Source organism: Homo sapiens, chromosome 11, assembly GCF_000001405.40.
Source record: "Homo sapiens chromosome 11, GRCh38.p14 Primary Assembly".
NCBI lineage: Eukaryota > Metazoa > Chordata > Mammalia > Primates > Hominidae > Homo > Homo sapiens.
Window position 1 is genome coordinate 45,103,752 of NC_000011.10, and position 26,768 is coordinate 45,130,519.

Here is a 26,768-nt window from a genome sequence, read left to right on the forward strand (position 1 = left end):
CATATAATATATAACATATATATTATATATAAATTATATATATAAAAATTATACCTCAACAAGAAAGGAAGCAATAACACTAATCTACCTTTAACGGTGAAAACCAAGAGAAATCATGTAAGAAAGGGGCTTAGCTCAGGGCCTGGCACCAAGTCAGGATGCATTGAGGGCGATGGTTATCCCTGCTGTCACTCAGCACTTTCAAATATAGCTGTGCTTTATTTTGCAATGACCCTGTAAGTTGACTTACTTTTTATAGCTGAGGGATTGAGGCTTGGTGAAAACTTGCTCTAGATGATCTAATTCCGTGCCCTAGACTTTTTCGCCTGGGCATAGCCCTCAAGCTAGGATAGGCTGAGCAGGGCCCAGGGCAACAGAGCTGTGTGGACAGGCTAGCCCTCAAGGGCCACTGCACCTGGCAAAGCACAAGACCAAAATGTTGTCCACTTGTTCCCAGGAGACCTGGCTCTTCCAGGTGATGAGGCACCAGAGGAACTTCTCTCAAGAAAGCAGGCATCAGCTGGCCAGAAGGAGTAAGGGCAGAAGAAGGCAGCAGGGCAGCACAGGGCACAGGGCTGGACAGGCAGATCTGGGTCTGAATTCAGGATCCTCTGGATGAAAGGGGGCAAGCTGCTTCTCATCCATGGGGGTCGGGTTTCTCATCTGCAAAATGGGGACGAGGACACGTGCCCTTCCTGCTGCTCAAGGTTGCTGTGATAGCTGAGTGAGACCATGGAGTGAAGACTCTGGTCCTCCTACTGACCTTACAGGATGGGCAAGAGCCTCTCCATTTTGCAGATGAGGAAACTGAGGCACAGACACTTCAGACCCCACCCAGCTATGACCCATCTCCCACCTGGGACCTCAGCCCCAAGGTGACTCATGGCAGAAACACAGCCCAGGGAAGAGGAACAAAGGTTTTGGGGGGAGGTGGCCTAAAACCTGCCCAGAAACCTCAGTGCTGCAGATGACACAGAACCACCAATACGGCTAAAGGGACTGGGTGGGGCACTTTAGAAAAGCAATAGGAATATCATCCCAGCCCTGAGGTTAATTCAGATCGGGGACCCAGAGTTGGGTTCTCGATGCCTTGTGATGTCCAAGCAGCTTCCCAGGCCTCCTTCCTTCACGGAGCTCCTGGGACCATCTCCTCCTCCTGCATCCTGGACAGGGGTCATGTAATTCCACCCCATTCCCATCACGGGGCCAGTGGCCCCATGTCTTAGTCTGCTTGGGCAGCTATAACAAAAATACCATAATCTAGGTGGTTTACAAAGAGCAAACATGTATTTCTTATAGTTCTGGGAGCTGGGAAGTCCAAGATCAAGGTGCCCCAGATTTGGTGTCTGGTGAAGACCCACTTTCTCATGTACAGATGGCACTTCTTGCTGTATCTTCACAGAGTATAAGTGATGAAAGAGCTCCCTCAGACCTATTTAATAAGGGCACTAATCCCAGTCAACTGTCCTCATGGCCTAATTGCCTCCTCAATGCCCCACCTCCTAATACCATCACATCGGTGATTAGGTTTCAATGTGGGAATTTGAGGAGTACACATTCAGACCATAGCACCCCATGACCTACCTAAGGCCACCCAACTGGTCATAGCCACCAGGTGCTGCAAAAGCCTTGAGCTCATCTAGTGAGAACCCTCATCTATCAGAGAGGGAAAGGGCTTGTCTGAGGCTGCACAGCAGAGCTGGGACTGGAAGCCAGACCTCTGCACACCAGGCCTCGAGGGGAACCACAGGTGCTCAGGCCTTCTGAAAGCCACCTCATCACTGTGAGAGGGCCTCAGCCTCCACTGCTACAGCTGACTCTGCAGCCCCTCCCTCCAGCCGTGGTGACAGCAGAGCCATGGAAGCAGCTGGGCCTCCCAGTCCAGGCCCCTCTGGGATTGCCCTTCCCAACAGCTTGGCATGGCCCTGGCCCGCCACCTGGTGGCCACAACAACAATTGCCAGGACGTAGCCTCAGGCTCTGATCCCACCTCCCTCTCCCTGGGGGCAGCCTCTGCTACAAGGCAGTGGAGGAGCCCATGGCTCTTCCCAGAAGCCCTCTGCTCTAGTGGGCAGCATTTCTGAGACCCCTACAAAGTGCTTGGTGCTAAGCCCCAGGGCCACAGAGGCCTCTCCAGGGGTGAGGGTCACACATCTCTGAGACCATGAAGTCAGGCTGGACCGACCCTTCTAACATGATTTCCTTTAGGCAACAAAGAGTTCCTGGCACCGAGAAGGCTTTTACTTTGCAAACTCAAATGTGCAAGAAATCATCCGTTTTCACATTTGCTTTCAAATTTTCTCTCCAGTTCCTCCTCCTGGGCTCACCCACGCCTGAACTTCCCCCACCTGAGAGAGCACAGATGACAGCAAGTGTCCGTGGCCCCAGAGGGAAGGAAAGGGCCTCTGGGGTCACTGCAGTCCCTCTGGCCTCAAGCCCAGGCTGGCCATGTCTGTAGAGGTAGGAGGTCCCAAGCTCCTGCGCTTCCAGGGGCTCAGCAGTTTACACCCCGTTGGCAGCCCCAGCTTAAGGTGCAGGCTCCCTCGCAAGCCACACAGCCGTTCTCGTTGGAGGCCCTGCCACCTCTTGGGGTGCAGGGATTGGTTTCCTGTCACCCATGGGTCCCACCACCCTCAGGGCCCTTTATAGGCTGGGGTGATTTTTGCTTTCTTTGCTGGTTCTCTCACGAGCTAGATGTTCTAGTTATACTGCTATGCTACAAACCACCCCAAAATTGAGCACATAAGACAGCCATTTTATTATAGCCATGGATTCTGTGGGTCAGAAATTTGGAAAGGGCATCATGGAGACAGTTTACCTCTGCCCATAATGCCTGAGGCGCCGGCTGGAAGATTAAGGCTGGGGTGACTTGACGGTGGTGGCAGGAACCCTCTGGTGGGCATCCTCACGTGCAGGTCTGAGGCCGACACGGGCTGCCACCTGGGACACTGACCCATCTGCTCCACTCCACGTGGTCTGTGAGTTCTTTTTAGCACAGCAACTGGGTTCTAAGAGTGGATGTCGCAGGAGAGCAAGGCAGAAATGCGTGGCATTTTCTAGATCTAGCCTGGGAAGTTACAGAGCATCTTCTGCCATACTCTACTGGTCAAGGCAGTCACAAAAGTCTATGAATCAGAGATGTGGGGTGGAGTTGGGCTCAGATTGAGCACTGAGTGAAAAAGCTTCACTGCAAACAGGGATACCCCCAGAACAAAGTCCAGGCTTTGTGGGGAGGAGAAATGAAGCAGATCTGCTAAAGCCAAAAGATGGAGAACTGCTTCTGTCTGTGAGTGGGGTGGGTTGGCCAGCAATACCTGGGCTTCACAGGTCAGTATGGGGCTGGCTGAAGGCACCCACCTGGTGTTTAGGGGGCCCAGGGGCCTCCATAGAGCAAGATAAGTGCCACGTTAGCACACCAGGGTCACCAGGCAGCCAGGACAGGTGACTATCTCAGGGTCTGATGGAAGCTCAAAGTCCAGATGCTCTGCTCAGCCCACTCCCGGGCTCCACACTGGTCTCCACCATCTGTGTGACCTGGGCTGATGACATCTTCGAACTCCACTTTCTCACCTGCAAAACGGGGCTAATTATAGTTCAATGAGTCATAGCCCATTTCAGGGGCAAGTTCTAAATCAGTAAGGCAAAAATTAGGTACACACAAAACGACCCTTGAGAACCTCTTATGCTCCCCACCAGCATGGATACACATGGTTTTGTGTATACAGTTGTGAAGAGTAAGTCTAATGAATGTCAAATGTGGACAACTGATGAAGCAGAACAGAGGGTGGATGGGGTGCAGTGGGAAAGCCAAGAGGGAGGTCTGGACTTCTGTGCCATCTGCCTTTAAGGAAATGCCCATCTCTAGTTGAGTGGGGGACAGGGCAGGGGTAGGGGTGGGGTTCCTCTAAGCCTGTCAGGTTTGCTGACTGGCTTTTCCGTGTTGCTTTCACACCAATCCTCTGTAGTGTTAAATGAACTGATAGATTTGCGTGGCATTGTACAAATTAAACTAGTTAATATACATAAAGGCTCCAGCACAGTTCCTGGCATATAATAAGTGCTCAATAAATGTGGGTTGGATTTTTTTTTTTTTTTGTGAGACAGAGTCTCGCTCTGTCACCCAGGCTGGAGTGCAGTGGTGAGAGCTCAACTCATCGCAACCTCCAACTCCAGGGTACAAGTGATTCTCATGTCTCAGCCTCCCAAGTAGCTGGGACTACAGGTCTACACCACCATGCCTGGCTAACTTATTTTGTGTGTGTATTTTGTATTTTTAGTAGAGACAGGGTCTCACCATGTTGACTAGGCTGGTCTCAAACTCCTGGCCTTGGCCTCCCAAAGTGCTGGGATTACAAGCGTGAGCCACTGCACCCCGCCCTGGATTCATCTTAATCTCGCTTGATCAGACCCATGCACGTGGCTCATTTTCAGCCAGTGCTGCCATCCTGGTTGTTAAAATATCAGCATGTGTCCACTCCAGTTGGTAAATAGCTGCTGTCTAATTCCCCATGAGTGTGACCCGCTGCCCTGCTGCCCTGGCCTCTTACGTGGGATCCCCGTGTCTCCCCATGATGCAGCAGCTTGAGGGGTGGCCTTGGTCCAATTGGGCCCCTGGGACCTGCTCAAGTACCAGGCCAGGTCTGTTCTGACTGTTGGTCCCATGAGCTTCTGGGGTTAAATATTTCAAAGATCACTCCTGCCCATGTGCCCACTGCTCTGTGAAAAGCTGGAAGCAGCAGCCAGGCACTGCCTCCTGCACTCTCGGCTGGCATTTCCTGCTGGGGCCCACGGATCCCTTGCTCAGCCTGGGCTCTGGCTCCTGCCCTTGGACAGGATTCCAGAGGCAGGTGTGTCCTCATGGTGGGGCCTCACTCCCGAGTGAGGACGAGCTGCCTCCTTTCAGGGAATGTGGTGCCCAGAGGCACCAGGGGCCTCTCAGTGGCAGCTGTCTTTGAAGTCCTTGGACCCATTTCTCCCCAGCCCTGCCTGTAGCTATGTGGGGACCCAGGCCCAGTGCCACTCAGACTTTCTCAGCCTGCCCCTGAAATACCCACTAATGCCAACCAAGAATTAACACATGCACCCGCAGGCCAGGCAGCCTGCCTGAAGCAGCTGACACAAGTGTGAAATTTCTTTGAAGTCTTGGGTTTTGTCTCAAAAAATACACGCAGATTCTGCATTCTGCTCCATAATGTTTCCATTTTTGTTTAAATCTAAAAATAGGGCTTTAAATGACTTCCAGTGAAGAAAGTTGCCTCTCCAGGAAGATGTCGGGGCTTAGCCTGTGAGACTGTCAACACCCCTGGCCACAGGCCTCTGGGCACTCAAGGCTGGAAACCGAAAAATGTTGTCCCCGCCCCTCAGGAAAGGTTGAGTCTGACTTTTCACCTCTGACCTGTGCTTAGGCACCCTCTTTGGGTCACCTCCTATTTCTGTCCCTCTGAAACTGCAGTTGGCCCTGACCCAGAGTGGTGAGGAGTGGCGGTCTCTTGCTACTACAGGTAGGATGCAGGCTTGGCAATGCCAGTGGCCATGGTTCTACCCACCCCTGCCTTGAAAGGAAAATAGCACAGCTCAAGAAAAGGGACACCCAGAGACAGCAGTGCCCTGACAACATCACTCACTCTCCTTGACCCAGCATCACCTTGGATGTCGCAGGGCTATGTGACCAGAAATTCCTCATGTTGCCCCTAAACATGGTGAGGCCCTGTCTCTACCATGCACAGATGAAAAGAGTCCTAATTAATCAACTCTCCCTAGAAAGGAGACCACTCGGAGGAGCCCTACTCATTCTCAAAATATTCAGAGGCTATCCTGCGGAGGAGGGAGAGTATCTGTTCTCTGTGGCTCCACTGGGCCACAACCAAGACTGAGGTGTGGGAGATGGAACAGGGCAGATTTAGGATGGTGGGAGGAAGTGCTTTCTGAGTCAGATCTTTCCAGGGAAAGCAGGGCCTGCTTATCAGGTAGTGAGCTCCTGTCCCTAGGGGTATGTAAGTGTAAGCTGATAACCTTCTGGTAGCAAAAAGGTAGAAAGATTGAAGCACTAGATGGGGAAGGGTGGGCTTTTGTCTCTAAAATTCCTTCCCTTTCTGAGTCTCTGGTTCCATGATACTCTCTAAGCCCTGTTCAGGGATGTTTCCTCCCCATTCCAGTGTCCAGGGTTGCTCACAGTCACCACTCCTTTCAAAGCTGGAGGCACTGCAGCAGTGAGCAGGTGGGCATCTGTGCCCTGTGTGACCTGCTGATAGCATAGACGTGGTTATCAGCCCTCTATATGTCAGGATTCTGACTAGGAAAACTCAGTGACCCAAAGTGACCTTCATCCAAACCTCTCCTTTATTTCTGTAGTTTATACACTTTGCGTGCAAACACCCCTGGGAGGGACAGTACCTACACCTTTGGCAATGCTAAGCTTCACACAAAGAATTTTTCATCTCCTTTCTTGGATCGGGGTGGCTTTTATTTTTCTTCCAAGAACAACTAATCCTTATGCAGACCCAAGAAGTGGCAGCTAAGCTTCGGAGCCAGAAAAATGAGAGCCCTGAGTACATGCCCTTACAGAGATCTGGCTTGCCCACATGTCACCCCCAACCCTAATTGAACTCACCAGGAAAACGTAAAAGGGGGGTGGGGATGAGAGGTGGGGCATTTAGATAGCATTACAATTTTTCTAAAGGGCCAGGTAGGAGTTTGAGGAATTTCTTCTAAGCCAGTCACTGATGGGGCCAGGTAGGAGAAATACCCTGAAAGCAACATGCAGCCGGACCCAACTATCTGTGAGCTGGAACCGCCAAGGGGCTCTCCTCTGACCTGGGGGCTAAAGTGCCCAGAAAGAGGACAGGCCGCTGCTCTGGCCTCCCCGGCGCAACGACCTCACCAAACAAGGCCCCTTCAGGAGTGTCCTGGACCGGTGGCCACGAATTGCAAGGCCTCGCTTGCTCTATACAGGTTGTGCAGGACATAATCCAGGTGCGGGGTGCAAGGAGCTTCACATCCCATTCCCTCACCCATTTGTAAAGGTGTTACTTCATTTGTCCAGCAGATGGCAGTAAAGTATCCCAAACAAGAGGCGCCTTTCTTTGCGTTGCCCAGAAACCACTGGTTCTGCTCCTGGGTGGCAGAAAACTTGGAGAAGACAATCAGCTCTCCAGATTCCAATCTAAGAGTCAGATTCCCCCCTTACCCCCCTTTTTTTCTTTCTATTTCCACAACTATTTTTAATAAAAGCTTTACAGTTTTCGACGTCCAATGGTTCCCCGAGACTTACCATAAAACTCAGCTGCCACCTCCCCACCTCATCTCACCAGCTCTCTGGGACAGGCGACCACTTGCAACTCTGGGAGGTGTCTCTTCTGTTTTTAAATCTCCATAATTCTAAGCACTAGTTCTTGATTTCACCATTTTCGACACCATCTTTGACTTACTGTGATGGAAGATGAAGATTTATCTTTCTTACAATCCATCCCACCCTGTCCCTCCACCACTTCCCCTCCCATCTCTCTCCCAGCATGTCTCCCTATTTTTGGTTCTTGATATTTACTCGTCTTCTTTGCCATCTCTGGACTTACGGGGTGCCCTCTATGCCAAACGGCATTCCACCCAACATTGCTTCGGACCAACGAACCCATTTCACAGCGACAGGACAACAGGGACCTTGGGCCCGTGGAAATCGCTAGTCTTATCATGGACTCTCTCTCATCTGGAAGCAGCTGGCCCAACTGAAGGGTGGAATGGCCATGTGAACACTCAGTTAAGGTTCTGCTTGAGAGACAATGGCCTGAAAGGTTAAAGTTCTGTCTTACAGGATGAAGAATATGCTTTGATGAGGTGACCAGTAGAAGGTATGGTTCCTCCCACATCCACAATAACAGGGCCCCAAATCAGAGAGTGGGAGTGGCTTTCCTCACTATTACACCTAATAACCACATGCACTCGAACCCTCCGGGCTCTGTCGATTTGAAAGGTTTTGTTCCCGAGGGAGAAATGCTTCCATCGCGGAACACAACCAGGGGCCCATTGAGTTGGTCCATGAGACTGGACACTATGGGTGCCTCCTGCCACTGAACTGGCAACATGGGAGGAAGTCACTCTGCTGTGTGGCACATTTGATCCTGGTGATCAAATCAGGCTGATACTGTACAATGGGAGACTATGTCTAACACCCAGACAACTTTCTGAGTACCTCTTTTTTTAGCTTTAATTTTTATTGTAATAGTTTTTTGGGGTACAGGTGGTCTTTGATTACATGAATAACTTCTTTAGCAGTGATTTCTGAGATTTTAGTGCACCGGTCACCCAAGCAGTGTACACTGTACCCAATATGTAGTCTTTTATCCATTACCCTCCCAACCTTCCCCCACAAGTCCCCAAAGTCCCTTATATCATTCTAATGCCTTTGCATCCTCATAGCTTAGCTCCCACTTACAAGTGAGAACATACAATATTTGGCTCTCCATTCCCAAGTTACTTCACCTAGAATAATGGCCTCCAGCTCCAACCAAGTTGCTGCAAAAGACATTATTTCATTCTTATGGCTGAGTAATATTCCATGGTGTATATATAACACATTTTCTTATCCACTGGTTGGTTGATGGGCACTTAGGTTGGCTCCATAACTTTGCAATTGCAAATTGTGAGGCATAAATGGGTGTACAGGTGTTTTTTTCATATAATGATGTATTTTTCTTTGGGTAGACACCCAGTAGTGGGATTGCTAGATCAAATGGTAGTTCTACATTTAGCTCTTTAAGGAATCTCCATACTGTTTTCCATAGTGGTTGTACTAATTTACATTCTCACCAGCAACATAAACGTGTTCCCTTTTCATGACATCCATGCCAACACCTATTGTTTTTTGACTTTTTAATGATGGCCGTTCTTGGAAGAGTAAGGTGGTATCTCATTGTGGTTTGGATTTGCATTTCCCCGATGATTAGTGATGTTGAGCATTTTTTCGTATGTTTGTTGGCTCTTTGTATATATTCCTTTGAGAACTGTGTATTCATGTCCTTTGCCCACTTTTTGATGGGATTATTTGTGTGTGTGTGTGTGTGTGTGTTTCTTGCTAATTTGACTGCCTTGCAGATTCTGGATATGAGTCCTTTGCTGGATGCATAGTTTATGAATATTTTCTCCCACTCTGTGGGTTGTTTGTTTACTCTGCTGATTATTTCTTTTGCTGTGCAGAAGCTTTTTAGTTTAATTAGGTCCCATTCATTTATTTTTGTTTTTGTTGCATTTGTTTTGGGGGTCTTAGTCATGAATTCTTTGCCTAAGCCAATGTCTAGAAGAGTTTTTCTGATGTTATCTTCTAGAGATGTTATGGTTTCAGGTCTTGGATTTAAGTCTTTGATCCACCATGAATCGATTTTTGTATAAGGTGAGAAATGGAAATCCAGTTTCATTCTTCTACATGTGGCTTGCCAGTTTTCCCAGCACCATTTATTGAATACAGCGTCTTGTCCCCAGTTTACGTTTTTGTATGCTTTATCAAAGAGCAGTTGGCTGTACTTATTTGGCTTTATTTCCGGGTTCTCTATTCTGTTCCATTGGTCTACATGTGTGTTTTTATACCAGTACTACACTGTTTTGGTAACTATAGCCTTATAATATAGTTTGAAGTCGAGTAATGTGATGCTTCCAGATTTGTTCTTTTTGCTTAGTATTGCTTTGGTTATACAGGATTTTTTGGGTTCCACAATTTTAGGATTGTTTTTTCTAGTTCTGTGAAGAATGATTATGGTATTTTGATGGGAATTGCATTGAATCTGTAGATTGCTTTGGGCAGTATGGTCATCTTCACAATATTGATTCTTCCTATCCATGAGCATGGGATGTGTTTCCATTTGTTTGTGTTATCTATGATTTCTTTCAGCAGTGTTTTATAATTTTCCTTGTAGAGATCTTTCACCTCTTTGGTTAAGTATATTCCTAAATTATTTATTTATTTATTATTTTGCAGCTGTTGTAAAAGGGAGTGAGTTCATGATTGAATTTCAGCTTGGTTGTTGTTGGTGTATAAGAGTGCTACTGATTTGTGTGTGTGTGTGTGTGTGTGTGTGTGTGTGTGTGTTTTGTTTTTTTTTTTTTTTACAAAAAATCACATTGATTTTGTATCCTGAGGCTCTACTGGATTTGTTTATCAGATCTAGGAGCTTTTTGGATAAGTCTTTAGAGTTTTCTAGGTATACAGTCATATCATCAGTGAATAGTGAAAGTTTGACTTCCTCTTTTTCAATCTGGATGCCCTTTATTTCTTCCTCTTGTCTGGTTGCTCTGGCCAGGACTTCCAGTACTATGTTGAATAGAAGTGGTAAAAATGGGCATCCTTGTCCCAATTCTCAGGGGAAGTGCAATAGAACCACTCATGTCAAAGATGTTAGAATTAGCACAGGGAATTTAAAGCAGACTTTATAAATATGCTCAAGGACTTAAAGAACAAAAATGTTTATAATGAATGAATAGAGGGAAAATCACAGCAAAGAAGTGGAAACTCTAAACAAGAACCAAATAGAAATAGAAATTCTAGACTTGAAAAGTACCATATATGAAATTTAAAAAATTCACTGATATGCATAACAACAAACAAACTGGCAGAAGAGTCAATGAACTTGAAGCTTGATAAATAGAAAGTATCTAATCTGAAGTGGAAAAAGGTTTGAAATAAACTAAACAGGGTCTCAGAAATCTGTAAGATAATATTAGTTTCCTTAACACATGTCATTAAAGTCTTAGAAGGAGAGAAAATTGATACCAGAGCAGAAAAATTATTTGATAAACTGTCCCAAACTTGGTGAAAAACACAACTTATATACTCAATAAGCTCACTGAACCCCAAGAAAGATAAAAATAAAAGGAAGCAGTTCCTAGGCACATCATAGTCTAAAGATCAAAGAGAGAGAAAATCTTGAAAGCAGCCAATGAAAACAAAAACCAAACCAAAACAACCAAACACACAAAAAAACCATATCACACATAGAGGAACACTTGCATGAAGAATGAATGAGTTATCATCAGAGACAATAGAAGCCAGAACATAATGAAATACCATCTTTAATGTGCTGAAAGGGAAAAAAAAACTTAGAATTATATATCCAGAAAAAAATCCATAAACATGGGGAAACAAAGATATTTCAAATAAATGAAAATTGAGAAAACTCACTGCCAGTAGACCTGTTTCACAAGAAATACAAAAAGAAGTTCTTTAGGCTGAAGGGAGATTACACTGAAGGATACTCAGATTTACAGGAAGGAATGAAGAACATTAGAAATAGTACACATGTAAATCGTTATAAAGGAAAAAACTTTATTTCCTTAATCTAAAAAAGATATAATTATTTGGAGCAAAAATTATAACACGGTATTATGGAGCTCATAATGTATATAGCATGTGTGTGTGTGTGTGTGTGTATGTCTATATATATATAAAATAAAATTAACACAAAGCAAAGGTTCTTACTTTGATGTGAAGTGACAAAATATCTATGATAAGGTAAGGACTCATATTAAAATTGCTAGAGGAAATATTACAAATGCAAAGAGGTTTTGCTAATGCAAAGAGGTTTTGATAAAAAGTAATAGAGAAAAGGTTCTTTAAAAAATGTTTAACTCAAAAGAAAACAAAAAAGGAGGAAGACAGGAACAAAAGATTCAGGTGACAAATAGAAAATCAACAGCAAAATTGATAGGCCTATACTCAACTATGTCAATAATTATATTAAATATAAATGGATTAAACACTCTAGTTAAAAAGCAGAGCTTATCAGACTGAGCTAAAAGAGAAAGAACCAATTGTGTTCTCTATAAGAGGCACTCTTTCAATAGAAATATATAGTTAGGTTGAAGGTATAAGAAGACAAAAAGTTATATCATGCAAGCATTAGAAAGCTAGAGCAGGCCAGGTGTGGTGGCTCATGCCTATAATCCCAGCACTTTGGGAGGCTGACGGGGGTGGATCACCTGACGTCAGGAGTTCGAGATCAGCCTGGCCAACATGGTGAAACCCTGTCTCTACTAAAAATAGAAAAATCAGCTGGGTGTGGTGGCAGGTGCCTGTAATTCCAGCTACTTGGGAGGCTGAGGTAGGAGACTCACTTGAACCTGGGTGGTGGAGTTTACAGTGAGCCAAGATCATGCCATTGCACTCCAGCCTGGGTGACGAGTGAAACTCCATCTCAAAAAAAAAAAAAGAAAAAAAGAAAAAAAAAAGCTAGAGCAGTGATATTATTATCAGGTTAAACATGTTTTAAAACAATCAGTATCAGCTGAGATGAAGAACACTTTATCAGAAAGGCATGACAATTACAAACAATTACAAATATCAGAAAGGTGTAACAATTACATACAAATGTGTATGTGCCTAATAAATCACCTTCAATATACATAAAAAAGCAATCCTGACTAGACTAAAGGGAGAAATAGACAAAATGTACAGTCATGTTTGGAGACACTACAACCCCTGTCTCAGAAATTAACAGAACTAACTGACCAGAAATCAGTTAAGGTATAGAAGATTATGAATAACACTATAAAGTGCTTTGATTTAACACCATTTATAGAACACCACGTCAAACATCTCCAGAGTACATATTCTTTGCAAGTACATATAGAACATTCACCAAGACATACCACATACTAAGCTACAAAATAAGCCTTAAAATTTTTCAAAAGATTGAAACTTTACAGAGTATGTTCTCTGTCAACAATAGAATTAAGTTGGATAGCAATGACAATAAGGTATCTAGAAAATCCTCAGATAATTAGATATTAACATATCTTTAAATAACTCCTTGGTGAAAGTAGAAATCAGACAGAAAATTATAAAATATTTTGGACTGAATAATAACGAAAATATATCTCAAAATGAGTGAAGTGCAGCTAAAAGTGCTTAGAAATTTATAGCTAGAAATGTGAGAAAATAATTTTTTGTTGTTTAAGCCACCCAGTCTTTTGTACTTTGTTATGGCAGTCCTAGAAAACTAATATGATGTATCACACTTCAATAAGAATCAGGGCTCCTTGGACAAATGGCTGATTCTAGAACTGGGGAAGGAAATATATGACATGAGCCTGGAACATCTTGTAGCTCTAGAAAGTAGGGAAAGGCTCAAATGCAAGAAAGAAAAAAATACTCACAAATTGATGAGCTGTCAAAGGAGAACAGGAGTCCACTTAAAGAGTTCCCAATGCCTCCGGGTGCAATGGCTCACGCCTGTAATCCCAGCACTTTGGGAGGCCAAGGTGGGAGGATTACCTGAGGTCAGGAGTTCGAGACCAGCCTCACCAATATGGTGAAACCCTGTCTCTACTAAAAATACAAAAATTAGCTGGGTGTGGTGGTGTGCGTCTATAGTCCCAGCTACTTGGGAGGCTGAGACAGGAGAATTGCTTGAACCTGGGAGGCAGGTTGCAATGAGCCGAGATAATACCACTGCACTCCAGCCTGGGCAACAGAGTGAGATGAGACTCCATCTCAAAAAAAAAAAAAAAAAAAAAGAGTTCCCAGTGGCCAACGTGGAAATAATTTGAACAATAAAATTAATAAAGTTCCATTAGATGATAACCCAAAGCATAAAATAAATATCCATAAGTCCATACTGATATAAGTCACTGATGCAATAAATTCATAAATGGGAGAAGGCAGATAAATCTCTCATGCAGAAGAATTCCAAATAATTTATTTAAAGATGCTCAGCCCTCAAAGAGGAGAAGCAGGTTGAGTGTGGTGCTAATGCCTGTCATCCTAGCACTTTAGGAAGCTGAGGCTGCAGGACTGCCTGAGGACAGAAGTTTGAGACTAGCCTGAGCAACATAGCAAGAACCCTCCTCTACAAGAAAAAATATAATTAGACTGGTGTGGTGGCGTGCACCTGTACACCCAGCTACTCAAGAGGCTGAGGCTGGAGGATCACTTGAACCCAGGAGTCTAAGGCTTCAGTGATTCATGATCACAGCACTGCATTCCAGCCTGGGTGATAGAGCAAGATGCCATCTCAAAAAAAAAAAGTTAATTTAAAAAGAGGAGGAGCACAGCTCCCCACTCTTTAGGTATTGGCTGCAAATAGTGACTTCGTTCCGACGAGTACAGTATGGAAAGAAGGGAAAACGAGTAACTGTACTGTGGGAAAACCTGACCAACACTAACTCAGCCAGGTCTCTAAGGCCAACATTAACAGTTATAGATAATGTTGACAATATATATACTTGATATGATGTGGTGAAAATGGCACTTTAACTGTGATTTTCCACCCAATAAACCATAACCACAGTCATGACATTAAAAAAAAATTGAACAAATTCCAACAGTGGGACATCCTACAAAATGCCTGGCCAGAACACCTCAAAACTATCAAGATCATGAAAAAAAGAGAAGGAAAAGAAGTCTTTGAAATTGCCATAACCAAGAGGATCTTAAAGAGACTTGACAGTTAAATGCAATGTGGTATCCTGGATAAAATCCTAGAAAAGGAGAAAAACAACAAAACAAAAAACCAGGTGAAACCTAAAGAAATATGAATGAACTATGGACTTTAGTTAATCATAATGTATCAAAATATTGTTTGATTAACTGTAACAAATATAGTTATGTAGGATAATAGTTAGGAGAAATTGGTTAGGGGTGCATAGGAACTCTGTACTGTTTTCCCAATTTTTCTGTAAATCTAAAACTTCAAAAAATAAAATCTACCAAAAATAAAAAATATTAGCAAATTAAATTCATCAACACATAAAAATGATGACACATCATGACTAAGTGAGTTTCCTCCCGGGAATGCAAGTTTGTTTTAACATTCCAAAACCAATTCACCTGTTAATGGAATAAAGAGGAAATATCATACAATTATCTCAACAGATGCAGAGAAAAAGGATTTGACAGAATTTAACACTCATTTGTGATAAAAGCATTCAGCAAATTAGCAGTAGATGGGAACTTCCTCCATATGATAAATGAAATCTATGGAGATATAATAAAATACTGTAACTCATTTCATATTGGGTTAAGTATGAATGACAAAATGTTTTTCCTCCAAAATCAGCAATAAGACATGAATACTCACTCTTGTTATTTCTACTCAGCATAGCACTGATAGTTCTAGCTAGGGCAATTAGGAAAGAAGAAAAAATGCATGAAATTGAAAAGGAAGGAAAAGAGCTGTCAGAGTTTGTATGGGGTTGAAATAGTCCGTTTTGGGCATGGACTGGCAGTCTGCCTTGGCCCAGTCAGAGAAACTCCACTGAGGGAGAGAAAAATTATAATCCCTTTTGGTGGTTGCTGGGTCAGCTGCAATGATTTATAACCTAAAAGAGGTCCAAACACAAGACCATATTCTTCCACAGAAGTTTTCTGTGTTCTGGAGCTACAGCAAGCTGAGGCTCTGATCTATAATGACAAAGGAGAAACTCTTGCATAGGTGGTTAGGAGACCAAATCACACTAGACCAGGGACCTACTTGCAAGAATCACAAACTAGTTTCCTTCCTGAAACATCTGTCAGATTTTGAACTTGTGAGAGTAGGCAAATGAAAGAGGGAAGCTCAAAACATTCCAAGGTCAGACGGAACTTTCAGATTCTCAATGAAAAACCTGGTAAGGCGGCCGGGCGCGGTGGCTCACGCCTGTAATCCCAGCACTTTGGGAGGCCGAGTTGGGCGGATCACGAGGTCAGGAGATCGAGACCATTCTGGCTAACACGGTGAAACCCTGTCTCTACTATAAAAAATACAAAAAATTAGCCAGGCGAGGTGGAGGGCGCCTGTAGTCCCAGCTACGCGGGAGGCTGAGGCAGGAGAATTGCGTGAACCCCAGTGGGTGGAGCCTGCAGTGAGTGCCACTGCACTCCAACCTGGGTGACAGCGAGATTCTGTCTCAAAAAAAAAAAAAAAAAAAAAAAAAAAAAACACCTGGTAAGGCCATACCAGGAAGAATAGGCAGGTACCAGTGGCGGACTGAGTCTTACTAATACTGTAATGCAGCCACAAGATTATCAGTCCCTTACCCCATTTTCTTAACAGAATAAAAGACTAAACCCTAATTACTGAAAGATATTATCTATAGCCTCTATGGTCCTTCTATGAGCAGCATCTGGCAGTGACAGTGACAGTGACAAAGTAGGAGATGAGCAAGGAAGGGGGAAAATGTGAACAAAAAATAGCAGAGCCACTGCTGACCCAGTTACTGGAGTTAGCAGTAAGGACATAAAAACAGCCATGATCAGCATGTGAAAATAAATACAGGAAAAGATGCGCAAGATGGATTAAAAAGTGGAGAATTAAAATAGTTAGAATATCTCTTAAAAATCCAATGGCCATTCTAGAATTGAAAATATATCAGAATTTTAAGAATTTGTTGAATGTATTTAACAGGAGACTGAACACAGTGTATGACTGGATAGTGAACTGGAACTCAATAGAAATTATCCACACTGAAGCACACAGAAATAAAGCTGGGAGGGAGAGGGAACAGAACAGAGCATAAAGGCATGTGAGGTACTAACAAAAGTTCTAACATACACATATGTGGAGTATCAGAAAGAAAGGAGAGAGGAATGAGGCATAACCAGTATTTGAATAAATCATGCCTGAGAATTTTCCAAATACCACAGATTTAGTTTTATAAAGCAAGGCAAAACCCAAGCAGGATAGATACAATGTAAAACCACATGCAGGCTCATAATAAACTGCTGAAAGACAAAGACAAAGACAAACAGTAAAAAGCTGCTAGAGGAAAAAAGGAACCATTACCTTAAAAGAAGTAACAGTAAAACTGACCACTGGTCTTCACTAGAATCTATGGAAGCTAGAAAAAGAATATTGCCAACTTAGAATTCTATATCCACTAAAATGTCCTTTAAAATTAAAGGTGAAATATATTTTCATTAAAAAAAAAACCACATACAGAATCATCACCAGCAGACCAGTATCACAATAAATCAAAAGAGAGTCTGTCCTTCATGGTGAAGGAAAATGAGCCCAGAGAGAACAGACCACAGGAAGGAGTGAATAGTACCCAAGACAATAAGTATGTAGGTAAACATAAAACAATATTGATTACTTAAACCAGCAATAATGACAATGTATCTTCAGCTCATAATATATGTATGAGTACCAATATATGACAATAATAGCACAAAGGGCAAGAGCAGATAAAGTTGAGTTAAACTGTTGTAAGGTTCTTGCATTGAAGGTTCTTGCATTGTTCAAGAAGAAGTAACAGTGCAACCTTAAGGTAGACTGTAATAATTCAGGGATGCAGTTTAGATCCACTGAAAGAAAAAAAGAACATATAACCACGAAGCTAACAGAAGTGACAAAAATAGTCGATAAGTCAAGAAAGGCAGGAAAGGAGGAATTAAAAAACGAAGAATAGATGGTTCAAATAAAAATCAAATCACACGATGGTAGTTTGATACTACCAACTATATCAGCAATTACATTAATTATAAATGGATAAATAGTATAATATGAAATAATTGTCAGATTGAACTAAAAAAACAAGATGCAAATATTAGTTGTTTATAAGAGATACACACAATATAGGAGGACACAAGTTGAAAGGAAAAGAATGAAAAGATATTGCTGGAAACCATTAACAAAAAGCTGGTGTGGTTATATTACTATCTGATAAAGTAGACTTAAAGAAGTAACTTCCCCATATTAGTATGCTCCTCATTTCAAAGCTTCAAATATGCAAAGCAAAAGTAACAGAATTTTTAAAAAAGAAATGGGCAAATTCAAAATCAGAGTTACAGATTTAACACACTTCTCTCAGAAAATGCTAAAACAAGCAAGCAAACAAAAAACAGTGAAATACTGAATATTTAAACAACACAATTAAGCAATTTTATCTGGTTAATGTATATACAACATTATATTGAATAACTGCAGAATGAATATTATTTTGAAGTGCTTGTGGAACATTTACCACAATAGACTACACAATGGGTCATAAAGCAATTAACACAAATTTCAAAGAACTGAAATTATACAGAATATGCTCTCTAACTGGAGTGGAGTTAATTAGAAATCTATATAAAAAGGCAACTAGAAAATCTCTAAATGCTTGAAAATTAAGCAACACACTGCTAAATAGTCCATGGGCCAAAGGAAACATTACAACAGCAAATATTTAGAGTGGGATAATGAAAATTGTGAGCTGCATCTAAAGGCTGTGGTTACAGAAACATTTATAGCCTTAAATGCAATTCTTAGAGAAAAAGATATACGGAAAATTAATGAATCTAAGCTTCCCTCTCAGGAAGATAGATAAACAACAGCAAATTAAACCTCAAGAAAGTGGAAGGAAAGAAATAGTAAAGATGAAAGCAGAAATCAAATAGGAAAAAAAATACACAGTGGAGAAAATGAGCAAAGATAAAAGTTAGGCCTTTAAATAAGTAAATAAAATGTATAAACCCCTACTAAGAAGAGAGACACAGACAGACACACACACAGACACACACACACACACACACACACACACACACACAGAGAGAAACAGAATATCAGCTAAGAAAGTGGGTTATCAGTACAGGTTCTAGAGACATTTAAAAGATATCATGGTATTTTTTTTATTATTATTATACTTTAAGTCTTAGGGTACATGTGCACAATGTGAAGGTTTGTTACACATGTATACCATGTATACATGTATACATGGTATACATATGCCATGTTGGTGTACTGCACCCATTAACTCGTCATTTAGCATTAGGTATATCTCCTAATGCTATCCCTCCCCCCTCCCTCCACCCCACAACAGTCCCTGGAGTGTGATGTTCCCCTTCCTGTGTCCATGTGTTCTCATTGTTCAATTCCCACCTATGAGTGAGAACATGCAGTGTTTGGTTTTTTTGTCCTTGTGATAGTTTGCTGAGAATGATGACTTCCAGTTTCATCCATGTCCCTACAAAGGACATGAACTCCTCATTTTTTATGGCTGCATAGTATTCCATGGTGTATATGTGCCACATTTTCTTAATCCAGTCTATCGTTGTTGGACATTTGGGTTGGTTCCAAGTCTTTGCTATTGTGAATAGTGCCACAGTAAACATACATGTGCATGTGTCTTTATAGCAGCATGATTTATAGTCCTTTGGGTACATACCCAGTAATGGGATGGCTGGGTCAAATGGTATTTCTAGTTCTAGATCCCTGAGGAATCGCCACACTGACTTTCACAATGGTTGAACTAGTTTACTAGTCCCACCAACAGTGTAAAAGTGTTCCTATTTCTCCACTTCCTCTCCAGCACCTGTTGTTTCCTGACTTTTTAATGATCGCCATTCTAACTGGTGTGAGATGGTATCTCATTGTGGTTTTGATTTGCATTTCTCTGATGGCCAGTGATGATGAGCATTTTTTCATGTGTTTTTTGGCTGCATACATGTCTTCTTTTGAGAAGTGTCTGTTCATATCCTCCCCCCACTTTTTGATAGGGTTGTTTGTCTTTTTCTTGTAAATTTGTTTGAGTTCATTGTAGATTCTGGATATTAGCCCTTTGTCAGATGAGTAGATTGCAAAAATTTTCTCCCATTTTGTAGGTTGCCTGTTCACTGTGATGGTGGTTTCTTCTGCTGTGCAGAAGCTCTTTAGTTTAGTTAGATCCCATTTGTCAATTTTGGCTTTTGTTGCCATTGCTTTTGGTGTTTTAGACATGAAGTCCTTGCCCATGCCTATGTCCTGAATGGTATTGCCTAGGTTTTCTTCTAGGGTTTTTTATGGTTTTAGGTCTAACATGTAAGTCTTTAATCCATCTTGAATTAATTTTTGTATAAGGTGTAAGAAAGGGATCCAGTTTCAGCTTTCTACATATGGCTAGCCAGTTTTCCCAGCATCATTTATTAAATAGGGAATCCTTTCCCCATTGCTTGTTTTTGTCAGGTTTGTCAAAGATCAGATAGTTGTAGATATGCAGCATTATTTCTGAGGGCTCTGTTCTGTTCCATTGATCTATATCTCTGTTTTGGTACCAGTACCATGCTGTTTTGGTTACTGTAGCCTTGTAGTATAGTTTGAAGTCAGGTAGCGTGATGCCTCCGGCTTTGTTCTTTTGGCTTAGGATTGACTTGGCGATGCAGGCTCTTTTTTGGTTCCATATGAATTTTAAAGTAATTTTTTCCAATTCTGTGAAGAAAGTCATTGGTAGCTTGATGGGGATGGCATTGAATCTATAAATTACCTTGGGCAGTATGGCCATTTTCACGATATTGATTCTTCCTACCCATGAGCATGGAATGTTCTTCCATTTGTTTGTATCCTCTTTTATTTCATTGAGCAGTGGTTTGTAGTTCTCCTTGAAGAGGTCCTTCACATCCCTTGTAAGTTGGATTCCTAGGTATTTTATTCTCTTTGAAGCAATTGTGAATGGGAGTTCACTCATGATTTGGCTCTCTGTTTGTCTGTTATTGGTGTATAAGAATGCTTGTGATTTTTGTACATTGATTTTGTATCCTGAGACTTTGCTGAAGTTGCTTATCAGCTTGAGATTTTGGGCTGAGACAATGGGGTTTTCTAGATTTACAATCATGTCATCTTCAAACAGGGACAATTTGACTTCCTCTTTTCCTAATTGAATACCCTTTATTTCCTTCTCCTGCCTAATTGACCTGGCCAGAACTTCCAACACTATGTTGAATAGGAGTGGTGAGAGAGGGCATCCCTGTCTTGTGCCAGTTTTCAAAGGGAATGCTTCCAGTTTTTGCCCATTCAGTATGATATTGGCTGTGGGTTTGTCACAGATAGCTCTCATTATTTTGAGATACGTCCCATCAATACCTAATTGAGAGTTTTTAGCACGAAGGGTTGTTGAATTTTGTCAAAGGCCTTTTCTGCATCTATTGAGATAATCATGTGGTTTTTGTCTTTAGTTCTGTTTATATGCTGGATTACATTTATTGATTTGCATATGTTGAACCAGCCTTGCATCCCAGGGATGAAGCCCACTTGATCATGGTGGATAAGCTTTTTGATGTGCTGCTGGATTCAGTTTGCCAGTATTTTATTGAGGATTTTTGCATCAATGTTCATCAAGGATATTGGTCTAACATTCTCTGTTTTGGTTATGTCTCTGCCAGGCTTTGGTATCAGGATGATGCTGGCCTCATAAAATGAGTTAGGGAGGATTCCTTCTTTTTCTATTGATTGGAATAGTTTCAGAAGGAATGGTACCAGCTCCTCCTTGTACCTCTGGTAGAATTTGGCTGTGAATCCATCTGGTCCTGGACTTTTTTTGGTTGGTAAGCTATTGATTATTGCCACAATTTCAGAGCCTGTTATTGGTCTATTCAGAGATTCAACTTCTTCCTGGTTTAGTCTTGGGATGGTGTATGTGTTGAGGAATTTATCCATTTCTTCTAGATTTTCTAGTTTATTTGCATAGAGGTGTTTGTAGTATTCTCTGATGGTAGTTTGTATTTCTGTGGGATCGGTGGTGATATCCCCTTTATCATTTTTTATTGCATCTATTTGATTCTTCTCTCTTTTCTTCTTTATTAGTCTTGCTAGCGGTCTATCAATTTTGTTGATCTTTTCAAAAAACCAGCTCCTGGATTCATTAATTTTTTGAAGGGTTTTTTGTGTCTCTATTTCCTTAAGTTCTGCTCTGATTTTGGTTATTTCTTGCCTTCTGCTAGCTTTTGAATGTGTTTGCTCTTGCTTTTCTAGTTCTTTTAATTGTGATGTTAGGGTGTCAATTTTGGATCTTTCCTGTTTTCTCCTGTGGGCATTTAGTGCTATAAATTTCCCTCTACACACTGCTTTGAATGTGTCCCAGAGATTCTGGTATGTTGTGTCTTTGTTCTCATTGGTTTCAAAGAACATCTTTATTTCTGCCTTCATTTTGTTATGTACCCAGTAGTCTTTCAGGAGCAGGTTGTTCAGTTTCCATGTAGTTGAGCGGTTTTGAGTGAGTTTCTTAATCCTGAGTTCTAGTTTGATTGCACTGTGGTTTGAGAGACAGTTTGTTATAATTTCTGTTCTTTTACATTTGCTGAGGAGTGCTTTACTTCCAACTATGTGGTCAATTTTGGAATAGGTGTGGTGTGGTGCTGAAAAAAATGTATATTCTGTTGATTTGGGGTGGAGAGTTCTGTAGATGTCTATTAGGTCCGCTTGGTGTGGAGCTGAGTTCAATTCCTGGGTATCCTTGTTAACTTTCTGTCTTGTTGATCTGTCTAATGTTGACAGTGAGGTGTTAAAGTCTCCCATTATTATTGTGTGGGAGTCTAAGTCTCTTTGTAGTTCACTCAGGACTTGCTTTATGAATCTGGGTGCTCCTGTATTGGGTGCATATATATTTAGGATAGTTAGCTCTTCTTGTTGAATTGATCCTTTTACCATTATGTAATGGCCTTGTCTCTTTGGATCTTTGTTGGTTTAAAGTCTGTTTTATCAGAGACTAGGATTGCAACCCCTGCCTTTTTTTGTTTTCCATTTGCTTGGTAGATCTTCCTCCATCCCTTTATTTTGAGCCTATGTGTGTCTCTGCTTGTGAGATGGGTTTCCTGAATACAGCACTCTGATGAGTCTTGACTCTTTATCCAATTTGCCAGTCTGTGTCTTTTAATTGGAGCATTTAGCCCATTTACATTTAAAGTTAATATTGTTATGTGTGAATTTGATCCTGTCATTATGATGTTAGCTGGTTATTTTGCTCATTAGTTGATGCAGTTTCTTCCTAGCCTTGATGGTCTTTACAATTTGGCATGGTTTTGCAGTGGCTGGTACCGGTTGTTCCTTTCCATGTTTAGTGCTTCCTTCAGGAGCTCTTTTACGGCAGGCCTGGTGGTGACAAAATCTCTCAGCATTTGCTTGTCTGTAAAGTATTTTATTTCTCCTTCGCTTATGAAGCTTAGTTTGGCTGGATGTGAAATCCTGGGTTGAAAATTCTTTTCTTTAAGAATGTTGAATATTGGCCCCCACTCTCTTCTGGCTTGTAGAGTTTCTGCCGAGAGATCCACTGTTAGTCTGATGGGCTTCCCTTTGTGGGTAACCCGACCTTTCTCTCTGGCTGCCCTTAACATTGTTTCCTTCATTTCAACTTTGGTGAATCTGACAATTATGTGTCTTGGAGTTGCTCTTCTCGAGGAGTATCTTTGTGGTGTTCTCCGTATTTCCTGAATCTGAATGTTGGCCTGCCTTGCTAGATTGGGGAAGTTCTCCTGGATAATATCCTGCAGAGTGTTTTCCAACTTGGTTCCATTCTCCCTGTCACTTTCAGGTACGCCAATCAGATGTAGATTTGGTCTTTTCACATAGTCCCATATTTCTTGGAGACTTTGTTCGTTTCTTTTTATTCTTTTTTCTCTAAACTTCCCTTCTCGCTTCATTTCATTCATTTCATCTGCCATCACTGAAACCCTTTCTTCCAGTTAATCACGTCAGCTCCTGAGGCTTCTGCATTCTTCACATAGTTCTCCAGCCTTGGCTTTCAGCTCCATCAGCTCCTTTAAGCACTTCTCTGCATTGGTTATTCTAGTTATACATTCGTCTAATTTTTTTCAAAGTTTTTAACTTCTTTGCCATTGGTTTGAATTTCCTCCTGTAGCTCGGAGTAGTTTGATCATCTGAAGCCTTCTTCTCCCAACTTGTCAAAGTCATTCTCCGTCCAGCTTTGTTCCGTTGCTGGTGAGGAGCTGCGTTCCTTTGGAGGAGGAGAGGCGCTCTGCTTTTTAGAGTTTCCAGTTTTTCTGCTCTGTTTTTTCCCCATCTTTGTAGTTTTATCTACTTTTGGTCTTTGATGATGGTGATGTACAGATGGGTTTTTGGTGTGGATGTCCTTTCTGTTTGTTAGTTTTCCTTCTAACAGACAGGACCCTCAGCTGCAGGTCTGTTGGAGTTTGCTAGAAGTCTACTCCAGACCCTGTTTGCCTGGGTATCAGCAGCGGTGGCTGCAGAACAGCGGTGGCTGTAGAACAGCGGGTTTTCATGAACCGCAAATGCTGCTGCCTGATCATTCCTCTGGAAGTTTTGTCTCAGAGGAGTACCCGGCCCTGTGAGGTGTCAGTCTGCCCCTACCGGGGGGTGCCTCCCAGTTAGGCTGCTCAGGGGTCAGGGACCCACTTGACGAGGCAGTCTGCCCGTTCTCAGATCTCCAGCTGCGTGCTGGGAGAACCACTACTCTCTTCAAAGCTGTCAGATAGGGACGTTTAAGTCTGTAGAGGTTACTGCTGTCTTTTTGTCTTTGCCCTGCCCCCAGAGGTGGAGCCTACAGAGGCAGGCAGGCCTCCTTGAGCTGTGGTGGGCTCCACCCACTTCGAGCTTCCTGGCTGCTTTGTTTACCTATGCAAGCCTGGGCAATGGCAGGCGCCCCTCCCCCAGCCTCGCTGCCACCTTGCAGTTTGATCTCAGACTGCTGTGCTAGCAATCAGTGAGACTCTGTGGGCGTAGGACCCTCCGAGCCATGTGCAGGATATAATCTCCTGGTGTGCCGTTTTTTAAGCCCGTTGGCAAAGTGCAGTATTAGGGTGGGAGTGACCCAATTTTCCAGGTGCTGTCTGTCACCCCTTTCTTTGACTAGGAAAGGGAACTCCCTGACCCCTTGCACTTCCTGAGTGAGGCAATGCCTCGCCCTGCTTCGGCTCGCACACAGTGCACTGCACCCACTGTCCTGCACCCACTGTCTGGCACTCCCTAGTGAGATGAACCCGGTACCTCAGATGGAAATGCAGAAATCACCCATCTTCTGCGTCGCTCACGCTGGAAGCTGTAGACCGGAGCTCTTCCTATTCAGCCATCTTGGCTACACCCCGCGCACCCCCCCTCCCCCCGCTGATATCATGGTATTAACAACTTTTTGTTGATACATTTGGCAACTTAGATTAAATGAACAAATTCTTTGAAAACACAACTTACCATATAAAAAAAGTAAAAAATACTGTAGTCTAATATTCATTTAAAAACTGAATCTGTAATTGAAAATTTTCCTACAAAGAAGCTTCCAGGGCCAGATAGCTTCACTGGAGAATTTCCACAAATATTTAAGGCAGAAACAGTGCTAATCTTATTTAAACTATTTCAGAAAAAAGAGAAATAAAAAACACCTCCAAACTTGCTTTACAAGACCAATATAAACCTGATTTTAAAAATCTGACATTTTATTATTATATTTTATAAGAAAGGAAAGAAAAAATTGCAGGCCAATATCACTCATAAGCATAAATGTGAAAATCCTAACTAAAATATTAGCAAATCAAACGTAGTGACATACAAAAATTATATATCATGACCACATGGTGTTTATTCTAAGAATGCAGTTACTTTAACATTATTTTAATGTAATTCACCACATTAACAGAATAAAGGAGAAAAAGCATATAATCATCTTGATAGATATAGAAACATTATTTGACAAATTCAACACTTTTTCAAATTAAACTACCAGAAAACAGGAATAGAAAGGAACTTTTCTAATCTAATGAAGGATATCTACAAAAACCCTTAGCTAACATCTTTTAACATAAACTAGTGAATGCTTTTCCTCTGAGGTTAGGAACAAGACAAGGCTACTATCGCTACTTCTATTCATCATCGTACTGAAGATCCTAGCCAGTGCAATATGGCAAGAAAAAAATTGAAAAGTATGAGACTTAAAACGAAAGAATAAAACTATTATTTGCTCACATACATGGTGATGTATGCAAAAAATTCAAAAGGGTCTATAAACAAACTATTAGAATTAATAAGCAAATTTGGAAAGGTCGTTTAAACAAGGTGACTTTTCAGAAATCAATTGTATATTTATATACTAGTAAAACAAATTGGAAATAGAACCTTAAAAACCACCATTTACAACTGAATTTTTAAAATCAAATAAGAATACATACAATGAAAAATTGCAAGATATCCACCCTATAAAACAGTGTTTAGAGAAATTAAATAAGACCTAAACACATGGATTTACATAAACACTTCATGTTTACAGATTGGAAGAATCAATATTGTTTCTCTCCAAATAGCAATCTCTCTCCAAATTGATCTACAGATTTTGTGACATCTCAATCAAAATACTGGAAGTAAATTGAAAAGCTGATTGTAAAATATACATATAAAAATGCAAAAAAAACCCAGAATAGCCAAAATGATGTTGAAGAAGAATAAAGTTGGAGGACTCGTACCATCAGATATACTTATTGTAAATCTACAGTAGTTAAGAAGACTATGTGGGTTTGGTGCAAAGACAGATAAATAGAAGAATGAAGTAGGATAGAGTCCAACAACAGACCCACACTTACATGGTCAACTGATTTTTGACAGTGGTGCCACTGCAATCCAGTGGGTGGAGAATGCCTTTTAAATAAATGGCCTAATGTCTTAGATCAATTGGATATTCATATGGGAAAAAAATGAAGCTTGATCCCTACCTCACACCAAAATTAATTTGAAATGGATTCTAGATCTACATGTGAAAAACAAAACAATAAAGCTTCCAAAAGAAAATACAGAATCATATCATTATGATATTGGGATAGTTAAAAAGTTGTTAGAACACCAAAGCCATTACCCATAAAATAGGCCTCATTAAAATTAAGAACTTCTGTTCATTAAAAGACATCAGGAGCGTGAAAAGGCAAAATATACACTGGGATAAGATATTGGCAATACATATATCTGAGAAATCAATAAAACAAAAAACAATTAAACTTTGGGCATAAAACTTAAGCACTTCACAAGAAAGGATATTCAAATGGCCAATCAACACATGAGAAGGTGTTCAACATTATCACTCATCAGGAAAAAGTCAATTGAAACCACAATGAACATCACTACAAAC

General features: G+C 41.7%; 1 protein-coding gene and 1 long non-coding RNA gene across 4 annotated transcripts in view, besides 4 other annotated features; one reads left to right on the forward strand and one right to left on the reverse strand.

Annotated features, from left to right (window-relative positions):
• PRDM11 (PR/SET domain 11) overlaps positions 1 to 26,768 on the forward strand; it is a 140,951-nt gene that overhangs the window by 9,593 nt on the left and 104,590 nt on the right. The window lies entirely within an intron of this gene.
• Positions 1,949 to 2,038: a silencer, noted in NCBI's record as "silent region_3284". NCBI's record gives its function as "represses an Ori minimal core promoter by ATAC-STARR-seq in GM12878 lymphoblastoid cells {active_cell/tissue: GM12878}" and the evidence as "EXISTENCE:reporter gene assay evidence [ECO:0000049][PMID:35858748]".
• The window catches only part of LOC105376652 (uncharacterized), a 40,299-nt gene continuing 16,264 nt past the window's right edge, over positions 2,734 to 26,768 (reverse strand). For 2 of the 3 annotated variants that reach the window (XR_931239.3, XR_931240.3), the window contains exons 4-5: positions 7,270 to 7,425; positions 2,734 to 3,569 (exon numbers count right to left, since the gene is read on the reverse strand). This is a non-coding gene — a long non-coding RNA (uncharacterized LOC105376652). The remainder of the gene's footprint in view (positions 3,570 to 7,269; positions 7,426 to 26,768) is intronic. The other variant, XR_931241.3, reaches the window with a different exon arrangement.
• Positions 6,887 to 7,181: an enhancer, noted in NCBI's record as "tiled region #15340; HepG2 Activating DNase unmatched - State 12:CtcfO, and K562 Activating DNase unmatched - State 12:CtcfO". NCBI's record gives its function as "activates a minimal TATA promoter and a strong SV40 promoter by Sharpr-MPRA in HepG2 and K562 cells {active_cell/tissue: HepG2 | K562}" and the evidence as "EXISTENCE:reporter gene assay evidence [ECO:0000049][PMID:27701403]".
• Positions 23,866 to 24,366: an enhancer, noted in NCBI's record as "H3K4me1 hESC enhancer chr11:45149168-45149668 (GRCh37/hg19 assembly coordinates)". NCBI's record gives its function as "activates a minimal SCP1, AML or CMV promoter by ChIP-STARR-seq in naive H9 embryonic stem cells {active_cell/tissue: H9 hESC(naive)}" and the evidence as "EXISTENCE:reporter gene assay evidence [ECO:0000049][PMID:30033119]".
• Positions 24,367 to 24,867: an enhancer, noted in NCBI's record as "H3K4me1 hESC enhancer chr11:45149669-45150169 (GRCh37/hg19 assembly coordinates)". NCBI's record gives its function as "activates a minimal SCP1, AML or CMV promoter by ChIP-STARR-seq in naive H9 embryonic stem cells {active_cell/tissue: H9 hESC(naive)}" and the evidence as "EXISTENCE:reporter gene assay evidence [ECO:0000049][PMID:30033119]".